At 46.3% G+C, this 17,787-nt stretch overlaps 1 protein-coding gene across 8 annotated transcripts in view; it reads right to left on the bottom strand.

Moving 5' to 3' along the window:
• The window catches only part of USP43 (ubiquitin specific peptidase 43), an 84,428-nt gene that overhangs the window by 2,103 nt on the left and 64,538 nt on the right, over positions 1–17,787 (bottom strand). For 7 of the 8 annotated variants that reach the window (XM_017024159.3, XM_047435319.1, NM_153210.5 and 4 more), the window contains 2 exons: positions 17,471–17,629; positions 15,453–15,617 (listed from right to left, as the gene is read on the bottom strand). In XM_017024159.3, coding sequence (XP_016879648.1) covers positions 15,453–15,617; positions 17,471–17,629 — 324 coding nt within the window. Of the gene's footprint in view, positions 1–15,452; positions 15,618–17,470; positions 17,703–17,787 lie in introns of those variants that run through there. The other variant, XM_047435320.1, reaches the window with a different exon arrangement.

The following is a 17,787-nucleotide window of genomic DNA, read 5'->3' as shown; positions in this document are numbered from 1 at the left end:
TCTAGGTCATATTAGGTCCTTGTACCTTTCAAATGCAAGAATCTCAGATATCCTACCCTGGGCTAAAAAAGAAAAAAAAAATGGAATTAAAAAAATATGGTGAAAACCACAATTACTTTTGCACCAACCTATACAACTTGTAAAAATATATACACGTGCATGTATTATGCATGCATGTGAAAACATACAAATAAGAATAGAGAAATAGATGCCAAAAACAAGGTGTGGATAGGGCCATGGCAGTGCTGTTTGTGATGGATTTTTTTTCTTAATTCTTTCCTATATCTCCACATTTCTAAAAGGAACATATGTACAACCAAGGTTGTGTATTTTTGCTTAAGAAATTCTCAGTCTTGGGAGGCTGAGGCAGGTGGGTCACAAGGTCAGGAGTTCGAGACCAGCCTGACCAACATGGTGAAACCCCATCTCTACTAAAATACAAAAATTAGCTGGGCGTGGTGGCACATGCCTATAATCCCAGCTACTCAGGAGGCTGAGGCAGGAGAATCACTTGAACCCGGGAGGTGGAGGTGGAGGTTGCAGTGAGCTGAGATCATGCCACTGCACTCCAGCCTGGGTGACAGAGCAAGACTCCATCTCCAAAAAAAAAAAGAAAGAAATTCTCAGTCATCAGTCACTGTACCATTAAAATGCCTTGTTTTACATGATGTCTGCAATCATTGAGAAAGAAATCTTCAGCTAAAACACACAATCCACCTGGCGCAACTGAAACACACAACCTACATGGCGCAAGGACAGTCACACACATTTGGAGAAAGGTTGCAGGGTGACCTCTGAAGTCTGCCCCACGGGTGGCCACTCTCACTGTGCCACTTCATCATAGTGTTTGAGGGTGCTATGGACTGAAGGTTTGTGTCCCCTGAGATTCATACATTGAAGCTCTAGTCCCCAAGGCGATGGTTTAAGGGGGTGATGCTGCTGGGTGGTAATTAGGTCTTGAGGGTAGAGCCCTCGTGAATGGGATTAGTGACCTTCTAAGAAGAGGTTGAAGAGCTACCCAGCTCTCTTCCTGCCATGTGAGGACACATGAAGCTGTCTGCAGCCGGGAAGAACCTCTCCAGGGCCCCATCATGCTGGCACCCTGATCTCAGACTTCCAGCCTGCAGGACTGTGGGGAAGAAATGTCTGTTGTGGATAAGCTGCCCAGGCGTGGTATTCTGTTCTAACAGCCTGAATGAACAATGAAACAGAGAAGCTCCAAAAGGGAGCAGAACTCCTGCCATAAAAAGCCCCCTGTCAGCGGCACAGCCAACACGATGTGTGACACAGAGAAGGGCCAGAGATTGTCAGGTGCACGGGTGAGAGCTCAGGAAAGGCAAAAGAATGAGGTGCAGGGGAGTGAATGCTGCAGGAACGCGGGGGAGGCAAAGTGCACATCGACCAAGCACCCCTGGAGAAATGGCTGGAGCAGGAAGAAGCCGAAAGCCCATGACCTCCAAAAGGAGTTAGAAAGCATCTCAAGGATGTGACTTTCCAGGTTTCTCATAAAGAATGTTTGATTTTTTCTTTCCTCAAAGCATTTCTTTAGATTAGCCAGTCATAGACACAATTTTACCCAAAATACTCTGTAATTTTGGTTTAGATTGACCTTATTAAATTCCCAGCCCTCGGGGGGTGGGGAAGAAATGTTCTGGGGTCTGAGATGTGTGTGAAGTTTATTTCTTTTTTTCTCTTCCACAGCCCTGGGAAGGGCAGAAAGGGACGCTTTGTATTAGTAGGACAAAGCTGTGACTTTTAGCCTTTCAAAATGAGAGCATGTTGCCTGGAGCCCCGGCAGGTGGCGAGAGGAGTTGGCAGCTGCCCGAAATAGCAGTTCTTCCTTTCTTCCTGGTAGGAAAGTCTCTGAGGCCAGGGCTGACATCAACGCCTGAGCTACATTTCATGGGAACCACAGATGCCCACGGAACTCGTGTCTCCTCTTTCTCGAGATGGCAGTGAAAAAGTACCCCTGTTATCTTTATTCTCCTTCCATTTATTGGGCTAGGATAACAGGATCTGAGACAGTGATGGCTTTAATAAAATTGAGAAATAAGCAGCATAAGAACAGAAGGGAATAAGAGGCCCCCACGCTCACATCACACTTCCTCTCTACAAAGTCACTTCCCGTCTAGGGTGGGTGCAAGTCCTGGTACCCCTCCCCCGGGGAGATGGGCAAAACTTCTGGGATGCTGGGAGACAGATGCTGAACACAGTGGTGTTCAGAGACCCCTGGGCACTAACTCTGGTTCAACTCCCGCCCCACCCCACCCCGAGAAGATTCTGTTTCCAGCCAGTCTGAGCCTAGAGCCTTACACTGCATTAAAGACACAGGCCGTTAGGTTCTTCCTGAAGGTTATAAAGCCCCACAGCATTCATAATGTGCTTTTTGGACCCCACAAGAGCCCCCTCCATGCAGATGGCACCAGTGCAGCTGACAGGCTCAGTCCCCTGACACCCCCTCCACACCGCAGCTCTGGAGCCAGCAGATGCTGCTTTGAGAACGGCCACATCTGTTCCTGTCCCTGTGTGGCCACCTTGATTTCTACATGACTTTTTTATTTTTGGCCAATGAAGTATGCATCAATCCATACTCAGGTGTTTTGTGAACAGGGCTGGGGACCTCTTGGTGCCATGCTTAGTGCCCCCCTGCCCCCCGCCACAGAACAAGACTTTTCCTAGTTGAGCACCTTCTGTCTCTTCAAGGGCTTCCATCGTGCTTCATACATCTACCCGCTTACTCCTTCAAAAAATATTTAATAAGCACATGCCATGTGCCAAGGACTGTCTTCAACGCTTGGGATACAGTTGAAGGAAAAAGAATATGGTGCACCTGTCTTTATGAGGTTTGGCAAAAGCAAGAATACATGATACCATACAATGCTTCTTTTCTTTTCTTTCTTTCTTGAGACAGAGTCTCGCTCTTGTCCCCCAGGCTGCAGTCCAGTGGTGTGATCTCGGCTCACTGCAACCTCCACCTCCCGGATTCAAGTGATTCTCCTGCCTCAGCCTCCCCAGTAGCTGGGATTACAGGCGTCCACCACCACGCCCGGCTAATTTTTGTATTTTTAGCAGAGACTGGGTTTCACCACGTTGGCCAGACTGGTCTTGAACTCCTGACCTCAGGTGATCCACCCGCCTCGACCTCTCAAAGTGCTGGGATTACAGGCGTGAGCCACCATGCTGGGCCCCATATGATGTTTCTTGAGCCGAGTACAATTACTTCACAGCCTGATGACCATTTCCACGTGGAGGTCAGAGTGCAACCTGGGACAAGCCTACCCCCCAACTTTCCTCTGGTCCCCGTTAAGGTAAGAAAAAGCTACACCGATGAGTTGAAGCTTCTCCATCTCCAAGACTGAACCAGCAGGACGAAGCGGGGAAGAAAAAGGCTGGCTGTCACACCACCAGCCCCTGGGAGCCAAAGCTGCTGCCCTTTTCATCACTCCAAGAGCCACTGCCATACATGAGAGGGTGGGACAGAAAAGAAAACAGCAACACGCATGAGGGGGTCTGGCGGTCAGAGAAGAATAATCACCAGAACCATCAGAGCAGGCTGCTGATGAAACAGATGAAACGTGACAGCTTAAAATGATCAACAAACTTGCATCTCAAGGAAGATAATGAAAAAACAGGGACTGAAAAACGTGACTGACCAAGAGATAGAAACTATAAGGGAAGCCGGGCGCGGTGGCTCACGCCTGTAATCCCAGCACTTTGGGAGGCCGAGGCGGGTGGATCACCTGAGGTCAGGAGTTCAAGACCCGCCTGACCAACATGGTGAAACCCCATCTCTACTAAAAATACAAAACCCCGTCTCTACTAAAAATACAAAAATTAGCCAGGTGTGGTGGTGCGCACCTGTAATCCCAGCTGTTCGTGAGGCTGAGGCAGGAAAATCACTTGAACCTGGGAAGGGGAGGTTGCAGTGAGCCAAGATCGTACCACTGCACTCCAGCCTGGGCCACAGAGCGAAACTCCATCTCAAAAAAAAAAAGAAAAGAAAAGAAAAAAAAGGGAGGGAGGGGAGGGGAGGGGAGGGGAGGGGAGGGGAGGGGAGGGGAAGGGAAAGGAAGGGAAGGGAAAAGAGAAGAGCAAGAAACTACAAGGGAAAAGGCAGGAGACTCAGAAGATAGATCCAGGAGACTCAACAGCAAATCACAAAAACGTCAAAAGCAGGAGAGACAATCATTAAACAAAAACCAAAAGACATTTCTCTAAAGACAGGCCTGAGTCTGTAGAACAAAAGGCACCCCCAAGTTCTAGGTAAGGTTGAAGAACAAAAACCCGCACCTAGGCATATTCTGGGAGAATTTCTAAACTCCAAGGTCAAGGGGAGCATCTTAAAAGCTTCCCACCAGAAAAAAACAAGTGACTCTCCTGTAAACAAAAAAAGCCTGGGCTTCTCACCTGCAACCCTGGGGCCTGGGAGGCTGTGGGAAAACAGCTTCAGATGCCTGAGAGAAAAGGACTGCGACTCAAGAGTCGTGCAACCAGCCAAGCTGCCATTCACTCCCAAGTGAAAGGAAATATTTGTGGCTGGGCAAAGATTTTGAGAACGTATCACACACACTCGAATGAACCAGACCCACCACCTCAAGATGGGGGGTGACAAAGAGGAGAAAAATAGTGGTGCACAGTGGACACTGCAATCCATGTACTGTCCACCACCCTACATGCAGGACAGACGGCTCAGAATGTGTCACATAAAGCTAAGTGCTGCGAGGGGAATTTTGATAAGTCTGGAATAGAAAGTACTAGGCCCTGTCAGCAAAATCTAAGAGTTTGCAAAAGAGACCAGAAGGGGCACATGAAAGTCTTTCAAAGCTCTCATTTTGGGGGGAATGACAGGGAAAAGAGTGACAACAGATGTGTTATATATTTCTCATCTGATTGGAGGAAGGAGAGAAGACAGTGGTGAAAGAGAGCACCTTGCAGGAAATAACTGGCTTCTAAATACTGGGATAGAGAAAGTAGCAATTAACAAATTGCTACTTTGTGACCTGAGCGGCAAAACTTCCCAATGAACCAGGAAACAAAGCGCGACTCGCTCGCATCAGCAACAATAAGGAAAGGAAAAGAAGAAACAGTCATATAAAATCTTTAAAAACGAAATGAACAAAATCAAGTTTCGCAGCTGTTACATTACATCGGCATGGACTGAAGGCTCCAATTATAAGACGGCCTCTGAATTTTTGGTAAAAAGAAAACAAAAAACCCAACACCAGGCTGTTTACCAGAAACCACTTAAAACTAACTCAAAAGGAAAGGTGCCTAAAGCCCAAGAGAGGGGCAAAATGATAGCAGGCAAATGCGAAAGAGAGAAGGCAAAAAGAAAGAAGAAAAGGGTGGGATTATTAAACTTGGACAAAGTAGAATTTAAGGTTGAAAACATTAAGCAGGGATAAAGAGCCACATTATAATAATAAAAAGCACAATTTATAAAAGAGATCTAACAGTCATAAACCCGTAGACACCTAGTAACAAAGCAGCTAACAAGATAAAGCGAAAATTATTAAAATGCAAGGATTACTTGATTAAAGGTACAGCTAGGCTGGGCGCAGTGGCTCACGCCTGTAATCCCAGCATTGTGGGAGGCTGAGGCAGGTGGATCACCTGAGGAGTTTGAGACCAGCTTGGCCAACATGATGAAACCCTATCTGTACTAAAAATACAAAAAAAAAAAAAAATTAGCTGGGTGTGGTGGCGGGCACCTGTCACCTGTAATCCCAGCTACTGGGGAGGCTGAGGCAGGACAATCACTTGAACCTGGGAGGTGGAGGTTGCAGCGAGCCGAGATCACACCATTGCACTCCAGCCTGGGCAACAAGAGCGAAACTCGGTCTCAAAAAAAAAAAAAAAAAAAATACAGCTATACAGGAAGGTTTCATTATATTTCCTTCCTGCCAGGAGTCCCAGAGAAGGTACATTTAAAGACATAGGGGACTTGAATAGCCAATGAACTCACCTAATTTAATAGTTATGATATAAAGCTCACATCCCTCAAATAGACAATATACATTAGTTTATACATGCACAGAGCATTTACAAAATAGTAATCATGTACTTGACCACAAAAAGGGACTAATGTGTGACCTTGTGGCGCAATGGTAGCACGTCTGACTCCATAAAGGGAATAATTTTTGAAAACCACATTCTTGGATCACAATCCACAAAAATCAAAGAAGAAAGTTGACCAAAATAATCTGAAAGAGTTGAGACTTCCAGATAACTTCTAGATCAAAGAAGAAATCAAAACCGAAATGAAATACTATCTGGAAAGTGCTGAAAAAGAGAAAAACAAAACCTTTGAGGCCCAATAAAAGCCATAGAGGAAACTTATCATCAGAAGCGCCCATACTGAGAAGCTGTGAAAGCTTAACTTTCAGGGCACCTTATTACCAAGGGGTCTCTGGGAAGGACTCCTAGCCATTTTTTTTTACATGGTCATGGTTGTATAAAAATTGCAAAAGTAAGATGTTGTAATATTCTTTTTCTTCTGGAACCTTCCCCCACACCCACCTCAATTATATAAGTTGCAGTCTCCAAAACACTTGGATCCGTTCATTTTGGTTTAAGATTCCTTCATTATTATGATGATCATAACCAGGGCTACCGGAAAGGTGGTGTTCTCAAGCTGTCAGCATTTCTATACAGAGAGCTGCTGGCACTTTGCAGTGGTGACTTTTTACTGAGCGGGGCTGCTCCTGGGCATTGCAGGACACTTAGCATCCTTGCGCCCCACCCGGGGAATAAATGCCAGTAGTCACCTCTATTAATTTTGACCGTCAAAAAAACCCGGCTGGGCGTGGTGGCTCACACCTGTAATCCCAGCACTGTGGGAGGCCGAGGTGGGCAGATCACCTGAGGTCGGGAGTTCAAGACCAGCCTGACCAACACAGAGAAACCCTGTCTCTACTAAAAATACAAAATTAGCCGGGCGTGGTGGTGCATGCCTGTAATCCCAGCTACTTGGAAGGCTGAGGCAGGAGAATTGCTTGAACCTGGGAGGCAGAGGTTGCAGTGAGCAGAGATTGCGCCACTGCACTCCAGCCTGGGCAACAAGAGTGAAACACCATCTCAAAAAACAAAAAACACCCTCTCCTACATATTTGCAAACTCATGATAGTGGGAAGGAGAGGTGGTACCAACCACTATTTGAAAACTGATATGCTAGATTTTTGTCTTGCCCAGGTTTAGTAAGAATTAAAAAAAAAAAAAAGCTGGATTTTTCTTTTCTTTCTTTCTTTTTTTTTTTTTTTTTTTGAGATGGAGTCTCTGTCGCCCAGGCTGGAGTGCAGTGGCGCAACCTCGGCTCACTGCAACCTCCACCTTGCAGGTTTAAGCGATTCTCCTGCCTCAGCCTCCCAGGTAGCTGGGACTACAGGCACACACCACCATGCCCAACTAATTTTTGCGTTTTTAGTAGAGACGGGGTTTCACCACATTGGCCAAGCTATTGAGAAACTCCTGACCTCAAGTGATCTGCCTGCCTCGGCTTCCTAGTCTTTCTTTTTTTTTGAGACAGGGTCTCACTCTGTCACCCAGGCTGGAGCACAGTGGTGCGATCAAGGCTCAGTGCAACCTCCACTTCTTGGGCTCAAGTGATTCTCCAGCCTCAGCCTCCTGAGTAGCTGGGATCGCAGTCATGTGCCATCATGCCCAGCTAATTTTTGTATTTTTAGTAGAGACAGGGTTTTGCCATGTGGACCAGGCTGGTCTCGGGCTCCTAGCCTCAGGTGATCCACCTGCCTCGGCCTCCCAAAGTGCTGGGATTACAGGCATGAGCCACCACGTCCAGCAAACGCTGGATTTTTCAACCGTCTCAGAACTTCTAAAACAGCTTTCAAAATCTGTCACTATTTTAGTCAAACTCCAAGAGGGAAAGCTCCCTTAGGAAGCAAGGCTCTTGCAGTCTCTCTCCATGTGAAAGCGACTCTAATCTGGAATGTATGTCTACAGAGCCTGAGAGCCAAGACCTGGCACCCAGAGGGAACGGGTCTATTTCAGCCCCACCACTTTCTAGGGGTGAGCTTTACAACTAGGTGCGACTGGTTGCTTCACACCGAATCTCAGATATCCCCTTGGTAGGGCTATAAGGTCACCTCTCCCAAGGGTTTTGAGGACTGAATTAGAGAATGCGAGTAAAATGCCTGCAAGGGTCTGCAGGACAGTTATCATCCCTCCCCCAGGCCTCTCAGGGGTCTCTGAGGAGTTTTTCTAGAGCTGTGCCTCACATCTGTCTGAATACCATGTGAAAAACTTGGACCATCCTTTGAAATCGCCTCCTCCTGGGAGGATATCAAGCACATTTCTCCTTGGGAGAACTGAGAAATGGCCTGAGGTACTTTGCCGTTAAACAGAGCTGGGATGAACTTTTGAGCTTATCATAGGCAATGCTGACAGGGATGAATGAGCTTGAGAAAGAACATCTTTTTTGTTGTAGAGACTTTTTTTTGGACACGGAGTTTCACTCTTGTTGCCCAGGCTGGAGCGCAATGGTGCGAGCTCAGCTTACTGCAACCTCCACCTACTGGGTTCAAGTGATTCTCCTGCCTCAGCCTCCCGAGTAGCTGGGATTACAGGCATGAGCCACGGTGCCCAGCCATAGACACTATTTTAAATGTGCAATCATGAAAATATAAGGGGAAAAGAAATGTCCAGCCAGGACAAGTCAAAACAAAACATACTGCATGAAATAGTATGCCTGCATAGAAACGGATTCTTTTTTTCTTTTTCTTTTTTTTGAGACGGAGTTTTGCTCTTGTTGCCCAGACTGGAGTGCAATGGCACGATCTCAGCTCACCACAACCTCCGTCTCCCGGGTTCAAGCAATTCTCCTGCCTCAGCCTCCTGAGTAGCTGGGATTACAGGCATGCACCACCATGCCCGGCTAATTTTGTATTTTTAGTAGAGATGGAGTTTCTCTATGTTGGTCAGGCTGGTCTCAAACTCCTGACCTCAGATGATCTGCCCACCTTGGCCTCCCAAAGTGCTGGGATTACAGGTGTGAGCCACTGCTCACAGAAACGTATTCTAAGGAAATCAGACAACTCCAAGATGCACAGACATGCTATGAGTGTCATGTCTACTCATGAAATTTTGGCAGCCCAAATGCCACACGCTGGGGAAGGAATTAACTGAACTCTGACACATAAATCACTGTAAACCAGAGGGGTGGACTCAATGAGAATCTAAAACCACTTGTAGCTTTAAGATCCTATCATCATCTCTATTCACTCACAAATATGTAACCAGAGTCTGGTACATGCCTGGTGTAGTAAATCTTTGCAGCATCACGGATAGGCTCTTAATAACCTGAACTTGAACTTGAAGCAAAACAACATATAACTAAACCAATTTTCCCGTAGACTAATTGATATAAATAATAGTTAAGCTCCTACAGCATATTTCTCGTCCCAAAAGCATCGCCAAACTTCTAAAAAGACCCAAACACTTCTACTATTAAACATTAAAATAAATGTGAGCTACGGCTGGGCGCGGTGGCTCACACCTGTAATCCCAGCACTTTGGGAGGCCGAGGTGGGCAGATCACGAGATGAAGAGATCGAGACCATCCTGGCCAACATGGTGAAACCCCCATCTCTACTAAAAATACAAAAATTAGCTGGGTGTGGTGGTGCGTGCCTGTAGTCCCAGCTACTCGGGAGTCTGAGGCAGGAGAATCGCTTGAACCCGGGAGGCGGAGGTTGCAGTGAGCTGAGATCGCCCCATTGCACTTCAGCCTGGCAACAGAACAAGACTCCGCCTCAAAAAAAAAAAAAATGTGAGCTATACATACATTTAACAAAAGTAACGAGTAAGATAATTATTTGCCCACTTATTCCAGCTCAGGATCATGAATGGCAGGAACCAGCCCTGGATAGGCCCCCCTCCCATTTCAGGGAGACTCGCACTCACACTGAGACCGTGCAGACAATCAGATCACCTAATGGTATATCTTTAGGATGTGGGAGGAAACTGGAGCACCCGGAGAAAACCCACGCAGACATGGGGAGAATGAGCAAACTGCATTCTCCAGTAGTCCCAGCCAGGAATCAACTATTTTTTCTCATCAACATTATAGCAAAATGACCGCTGAACAAAATGACATTTTTAAAGGCCTGCTGTATTGCATTGGGTACTTGGATACAAATGATGACATAAAGTATAAAGAAATAAGCAGCTGATGAATACACACACACACACACACACACACACACACACTGTGCCCAAGCAATTCCACTCCTAAGTATACACCCAACAGAAATGCAGACGTGCAGACACCAAGGACAGGATCAAAAATGTTCATAACAGGACTACTGGTAATGGCTGCAAACCAGAAACAACTCTGAAACCGAACCGCAATACAAAATGTAAACATGTAAACTATTCTGACAATGTAAGGACTTTTTTTTTTTTTTTTTTTGAGAGGGAGTCTCGCTCTGTTGCCCAGGCTGGAGTGCAGTGGCACCATCTTAGCTCATTGCAACCTCCACCTCCTGGGTTCAAGTGATTCTCCTTCCTGGGTTCAAGTGATTCTCCTGCCTCAGCCTCCTGAGTAGCTCAGATTACAGGTGCCCGCCACCATGTCCAGCTAATTTTTGTATTTTTAGTAGAGACGGGGTTTCACCATGTTGGTCAGGCTGGTCTCAAACTCCTGACCTCAGGTGATCCTCCCACCTCGGCCTCCCAAAGTGCTGGGATTACAGGCATGTGCCACCGCACCTGGCTCAATGTAAGAAATTTTAATAAGGGAAATGGGGAGATTTGTCAAGTAGCAGACATTGCAGATAGCTTCATGACAAAACTTGCATTGGATTTTTGGAGAATCCATAAATAACTCAAGAAACCATAAATCTGTAACAACTCAGGGTGCTCCCCTTGATGACCAGGCCAGATTTCTCCAGGTCAGACCACAAGGCTAGCCTCCACAACAGATTCCAGCCCATGAATGAACCTGCAGAAAGGAAGAGGTAGTTCCCCCACCTCACCCTGCACCCCCTCTTCTTCAAACCCCTGTGTTTGCTTTTTTATTGACAATTGTCAACAGACAACAGTTCGCTCTCTCTCTCATAAGTAAATTTCTGTGCAGAGAACTATGTATCTCCAAGCTGTTTTTTATTTAAAACAGTCATGATTGAGAGAGATACAAGGCAGCAGGGTGCTAGAATATTCTATTTTTTAATCTGGTATATGAGGATGTTCATTTTATGAAAATTTGTCAGCTGTATACTTAATATACTTTAAGTATTGAAGGATTAATATACTTTACTTACATATACTTATATATATAATTGTATGCAATATGTAAAGTATACTAATCACAAGTATATATAATATTTCTATTAAAATTGTATTTAAAAAACTAAGTTAGGACCTAACAAGAAATAAGGAACTAAAAAAATAATTTGAACATGTTACCACTTTCTGGCTGAAGGAACACAAAGGCTAAAGATCACACACTCACACAAAGACACACAAACACACACACACAGACATACAGGCACAAACAATACACACACAAGCACACTCATACACACAAACACATTCTCACATACACAGACACATACACACACAGACACACACACAGATACACAAACACAGACACACACACATATACACAGATACATACACATAGACACACAGAAACACACACACAGACACATATACACAGATACATATACATAGACACACAGAGACACACACACAGATACACAGAGACACACACAGACACATATACACAGATACATACACATAGACACACAGAGACACACAGATACACAGACACACACACACAGAGACACACACATAGACACAAACACGCAGACACATACCTACAGAGACACACACACACACACACACATACACACACAGAGACACACACAGACACACACACATACACACAGACACACACACAGGCACATACACATAGAGACACACACACAAGAAACACACACACAGACATACACTCACAGAGACACACACACAAAGACACAAACACACAGACACACACACAGAGACACACACACACAAAGACACAGACACACACACAGACATACACACAGGCACAAACACACATACACAGACATACAGTTCTTACATAGTAATGCTGGTTTTTTTGTTTGTTTTTTTGAGACAAGGTCTCACTCTGTCACCCAGGCCGGAGTGCAGTGGTGTGCTCACAGCTCACTGCAGCCCTAACTTCCCAAGCTCAAGAGATCCTCCCACCTCAGCCTTTTGAGTAGCTGGGACAACAGGCACATGCCACCATGCCTGGCTAATTTTTTATAGAGATGGGGTCTCACTATGTTGCCAGGGCTAGTCTTAACTTCTTGGACTCACGCGATCCTCCCACCTTGGCCTCCCAAAATGCTAGGGTTCCAGGCGTGATCTGACAACGCTCAGCCTTAAGGACTTTGTTTCTGTGGTTACCCCCTTGTTCCCAGCACTGTCATCAACATCTCCCTGTAGACCTGATCATCTGAATGCGTCTCTACTATCTCCTACTTAGCTGTCAACCCGCCTTCCTTCAGTCACCTCGCCTGCTGGAGTGTGTACACACTGCCACTTCCTCCACCCCAGCCTCTGGTCCACCTGCTGCAGGCAGGCCTCCCTTCTCTCCAGCCATGGCAGATGCTCCTGGCAAGTCACCGGTGGCCTTCCAGCCTGATGGAATCTACCCATCCTCACCTTACTCAGCCTCTCAGCAGCATCCAGTACAGTTGGCTGCTTCCTTAAGATTCTCTTTTTTTCATCTGTCAACCACACTCACCTGGTTTTCTTCCCCTCACTGGCTGCTCCTTCTCCGTTCTTTTCTTGGCCTCTCCACCTTTGCTCAACCCTTAGATGTTGGAGAGCCCCCAGGTTTGGTCTCGGGTCTTCATTTTTTTTTTTTTTTTTTTGAGATGGAGTCTTGCTCTGTTGCCCAGGCTGGAGTGCAGTGGTGTGATCTAAGCTCACTGCAACCTCCACCTCCCAGGTTCAAGCGATTCCCCTGCCTCAGCCTCCTGAGTAGCTGGGATTACAGGCGTGCGCCACCATGCCCAGCTAATTTTTTTTGTATTTTTAGTAGAGACGGGGTTTCACCATGTTGGTCAGGCTGGTCTCGAACTCCTGACCCCATGATCTGCCCACCTCGGCCTCCCAAAGTGCTGGGATTACAGGCGTGAGCCACTGTGCCCGGCCTTCATTCTTTTTCATCTGTACTATTTCCCCAGGGGAGCTCAGCCAGCACTGTTCCATCCATGTGCTGATGACTCTCAAATATTTCTCTCCACTCCCCAGTTATCACATTGATGTGATGTCTTAGCAGGGTCCCCCAACCCCTGGGCTGTGGACAAGTACTGATCCACAGCCTGTTAGGAATCGGGCCACAGAGCAGGAAGTGAGTGGTGAGCAAATGAGCGAAGCTTCATCTGTATTTACAGCTGCTCCCCATCACTCGCATTACCGCCTGAGCTCCGCCTCCTGTCAGATCAGCAGGCGTATTAGATTCTCATAGGAACACAAAGCCTATTGTGAACTCTGCACGTGAGGGATGTAGGTTGCATGCTCCTTATGAGAATCTCATGCCTGATGATCTGAGGTGGAACAGTTTCATCCCAAACCATCCTCACCTCAAGTGTGTGTAAAAATTGTCTTCCATGAAACCGGTCCCTGGTGCCAAAAAGCCTGGGGAATGGTGTCTTACAGGATTTTCAAAATTACTGTGTCAAAAAATTCTTGACTTCCCTCCAGAATGGAGTGTTCCTACCCAACTTTCTCCCACCTCATTAACTGTGCAGCAATTCCCCTCGTTATTTAGACCTTAAGCAAGGAGTCATCCTTGACTATTCTCTTTCCTTCACACTGCACACCCCACATCAGCAAATCTTAGCAGCTCCAGCTTCAGTATACATCCAGTTTGACCATCTCTTATCTAACATGCTAGTTCAAACCACCACTGTCTCCCACCTGGATATAACCATGTTAGTCTCCTGAATGATCTTCCTACGTCCCCACTCTTGCCCCCTGTGATGTCTTCTCCACACAGTAGCCAGAGTAGACTCTCTACAAACTATAAATCAGATCAACCACTTCCCTGCTCAAAACTCTAAGCTAAAAAAGTTGATTTTATGGAGGTAGGGAGTAGAATGATGGTTGCCAGAGGCCGGGAATGGGGGCAGATGAAGAGAGGTGGGTTGATAGGTACAAATAGGCCAGGTGCGGTGGCTCATCCCTGTAATCCCAGCACTTTGGGAGGCCGAGGCAGGCAGATCACGTGAGGTCAGGAGTTTGAGATCAGCCTGACCAACATGATGAAACCCTGTCTCTACGAAAAGTACAAAAATTAGCCAGGCGTAGTGGCAGGCGCCTGTAATCCCAGCTACTCTAGAGGCTGAGGAAGGAGTATTGCTCGAACCCGGGAGGCAGAGGTTGCAGTGAGCCGAGATCATGCCACTGGACTCCAGCCTGCGACAGAGTGAGACTCTGTCTCAAAAAAAAAGTACAAATATACAGTTAGATAAAATAAGTTCTCATGTTTAATAGCACAGGAAGGTGACTACAGTTACCAACAATATATTGTATATTTCAAAACAGCTAGAGAGATTTGAAATGTTCCCGTCACAAAGAAATGATAAATGTTTGAGGTGATGTATATTCTAAATACCCTAGTTTGTATGTAATGAACACATTGTACGCATGTATCAAACTATCATATGTACCCCAAATATATGTACAATTATTATGTGTCAATTTTTTAAAAACAATGATTAAAGCAGAAGCATTAACAAACAAACAAACAAACAAACAAACAAAAACACCTCTCCACTCGCTATCCACTACACTTAGAATAGAGTCCAAACTTTATACCTCTAGCTCAGAAAGGTAGGTTCTAACATGGCCCCTGTCCACTCCTGCTCTCTCTACTCCTGGGTGTCTCTGCTCCAGCCACAGCTCTGGTTTCTTCTGCCCCTCACACATCCAATGCTCACTCCCAGCCTTCACCCTGGAGGGCTCCTCTCCTGGAACATAGCCCTAGGCTTCTACACAAGTCACTCTCTCTCACTCAGAGCTCTGCTCAGTGTCACCCCCTAGAAAGATGTTACCCGCCCGTCCTATCTCCCGGGCCCTGTGCACCCTCCCTCCTCCACCCCGGGCCTGAATACCCTCTTCCCTGATTCTCTTTGCCATTCTCCCTTCTTTAAGTACCATGTTCCCAGGTTTACTTGCTTATGACAATAAGCTACACGGGGGCAGAGAAAAGGTACCTGTGGCTGGAGGGTAGAGGATGGGGAGAAGCGGGCAAGGAAGGGCAGGTCATAGAAGACCCCATTTAAGAGATGAACAAACCTCTCGTAATGATGGACCCTTTCCATTCAAGACTACGAAGTGACAGCGCTTTCATACTGAGCAATAACAACAGACATTACAGAAAATGAAAATCAACCAAGCACATTTAACCAACATACCCTTTTCCTGATTGCAGAGGCTGTTGGTGAAGATGGGAGAGTCAGGAACCTGGGGCAGGGAGGGGCAGGGGGCAGAGCTCCAGGACAGCAGGCTTCCCCTTGTGCTGCCAGCGTGGCTCCCGAGCCGTAAGAGCCAGTGATCAGACAGGGAGGAGCTGGTAGAGCCTGTGGAGGAAACACAGAGAGGGAGGCTGAGCCCAACCCCAGCACTTCAGAGTCCTAGCGGAGCATCTCACAACCAGATCCCCATTCCGGCCCCATCCTTCAGCCCCAGAACTACAGAACCAGAACAGAACTGCAGAAACCTGTCAACAAGGAGAGGGGAAACCTGTGATCGGGTTTCCCATGTGACTAAGCTTAAAAGTTTAGGGAGAGGCATTTGAGCACAAAAAGGAAAGCATGGGCTGGGCGCGGTGGCTCACGCCTGTAATGCCAGCACTTACGGAGGCCGAGGCGAGCAGATCACCTGAGGTCAGGAGTTCAAGACCAGCCTGACCAACGTGGTGAAATCCCATCTCTACTAAAAATACAAAAAATTAGCTGGGCGTGGTGGTGGGCGCCTGTAAATCCTAGTTACTCAGGAGGCTGAGGCAGGAGAATTGTGTGAACCTGGGAGGCGGAGGTTGCAGTGAGCCGAAATCGCGCTACTGTACTCCAGCCTGGGCAACAAGAGCGAAACTCCGTCTCAAAAAATAAAAAACAAAACAACAACAACAACAAAGGAAAGTATGTTGACAAGTTTTGAAATGCTTTCCATGAAATTACTTATCACCAGCTTTGGCATTCTAAATATGTTTTTTGTTTCTTTTTCCAGAGCCAAAGTACTGTATTACTCAGAGCTGTAGTCAGAGGCAGAGTAACAGTATTTTATTACCAGTACCAGGGCCCCAGCATGCACAGTTCAACAGGTAATAAGCCATGTTACAGGAGTTTATCCCAAGTTTAGGGAAACCAAATCTTTTACAGTGGGCATTAAGGATGCCTACACTTTGCACCATAAAGATACATTATCTTTATTATACTGGACAGTAAGAAAAACTTCTTTTCTCTAATAGGACAGGTTTTTCATTCTTTTTTCAACATCTTCTTCTATAAATGGAAGCTAGACTTATGTTAGGATTGGTTTAGACCTGCTGAGGACTCTTGGATTTATTTGGCCATTTTCTGATAACTGTTAGGAGAAAATCTGCTTAATTTTTTTTTTTAATGCTCTCTTGTCCCAAAGATAAGGACAGTTGGTTTGCAGCATGAAACAAATCACGTGAAAGGGTCAGCTTTGGCACTTTCTTTCTCTAGACTTCCAAGCAAGTTTGAGGCTAATAAATGAATTGCTTGAGTGCAGCAGTGTTTAAACAGCTACCTTAGAGAGGCTGAGATGGGTGGATCAAGAGGTCAAGAGATCGAGACCATCCTCCTGGCCAACATGGTGAAACCCCGTCTCTGCTAAAAATACAAAAATTAGCTGGGCATGGTGGTGGCACGTGCCTGTACTCCCAGCTACTCGGGAGGCTGAGGCAGGAGAATCGCTTGAACCCAAGAGGCAGAGGTTGCAGTGAGCCAAGATCATGCCACTGCACTCCAGCCTGGTGACAGAGCGAGACTCCATCTCAAAAAAAAAAAAAAAAAAAAAAAGCTACCTTTCCTAGAAAAGTCCTGCATCCTTTATAACTGCCCTGCCTTTCCAACAGGACTGACATCAGTTTACATTACATACACCTCAAAAAACCTGCTGTGATATGAGTGAGACTAGGAATATGGAATACCACACTGCCAAGCATCGCCTGCCCTGAATACAAACAATTATTCTTTTCCCCTTTCCTGAATTATAATCCATCCATCCCACACCCTGGTAAATGAGCAACCAGTCTATGCAGCTCAGGTTTCTACAGCAGCATCCCGGGCTTCCTCTTTCAGATCCTTGCCAACCTCTCCTGGTCCTCGATGTTCAACTGAGCCTCTTCCCAGTTCTTAAAGTGACTTCCCCACACCCCCCTCCTGTCATGAGCAGCAGCACCTACCTCTCATGGAGCTGCTGGCTGACCAGGGAGGGATGCTGTTCCGCTTCTGATAGAACAGGATATAAGCCCCTCTGGTGTTGACCTCATCTTCTCGAAGCGGTTCCACCGTGCTGTCATCATAACTGTACCACTGGCCATCCAGAGAGTTCCGGCAGTAGGCTGCAAAGGTCCCATCCCCAAGTCTGAGTTATTGGAGCCCCAAAAGGTAGGAAGACATTTCCCACTGGCATAGCTGAAAAAGCGGTATGTTTAAACCAGAATGAGAAAAAAACAGTCCATTTTTGGCCAGAAATGAATTTTTTTTGGAATCAGAAAAG

The sequence above is a fragment of the Homo sapiens genome, chromosome 17 (assembly GCF_000001405.40).
Source record: "Homo sapiens chromosome 17, GRCh38.p14 Primary Assembly".
NCBI classification, from domain to species: Eukaryota; Metazoa; Chordata; class Mammalia; order Primates; family Hominidae; genus Homo; species Homo sapiens.
This window is presented reverse-complemented; position numbering and strand designations above follow the sequence as displayed.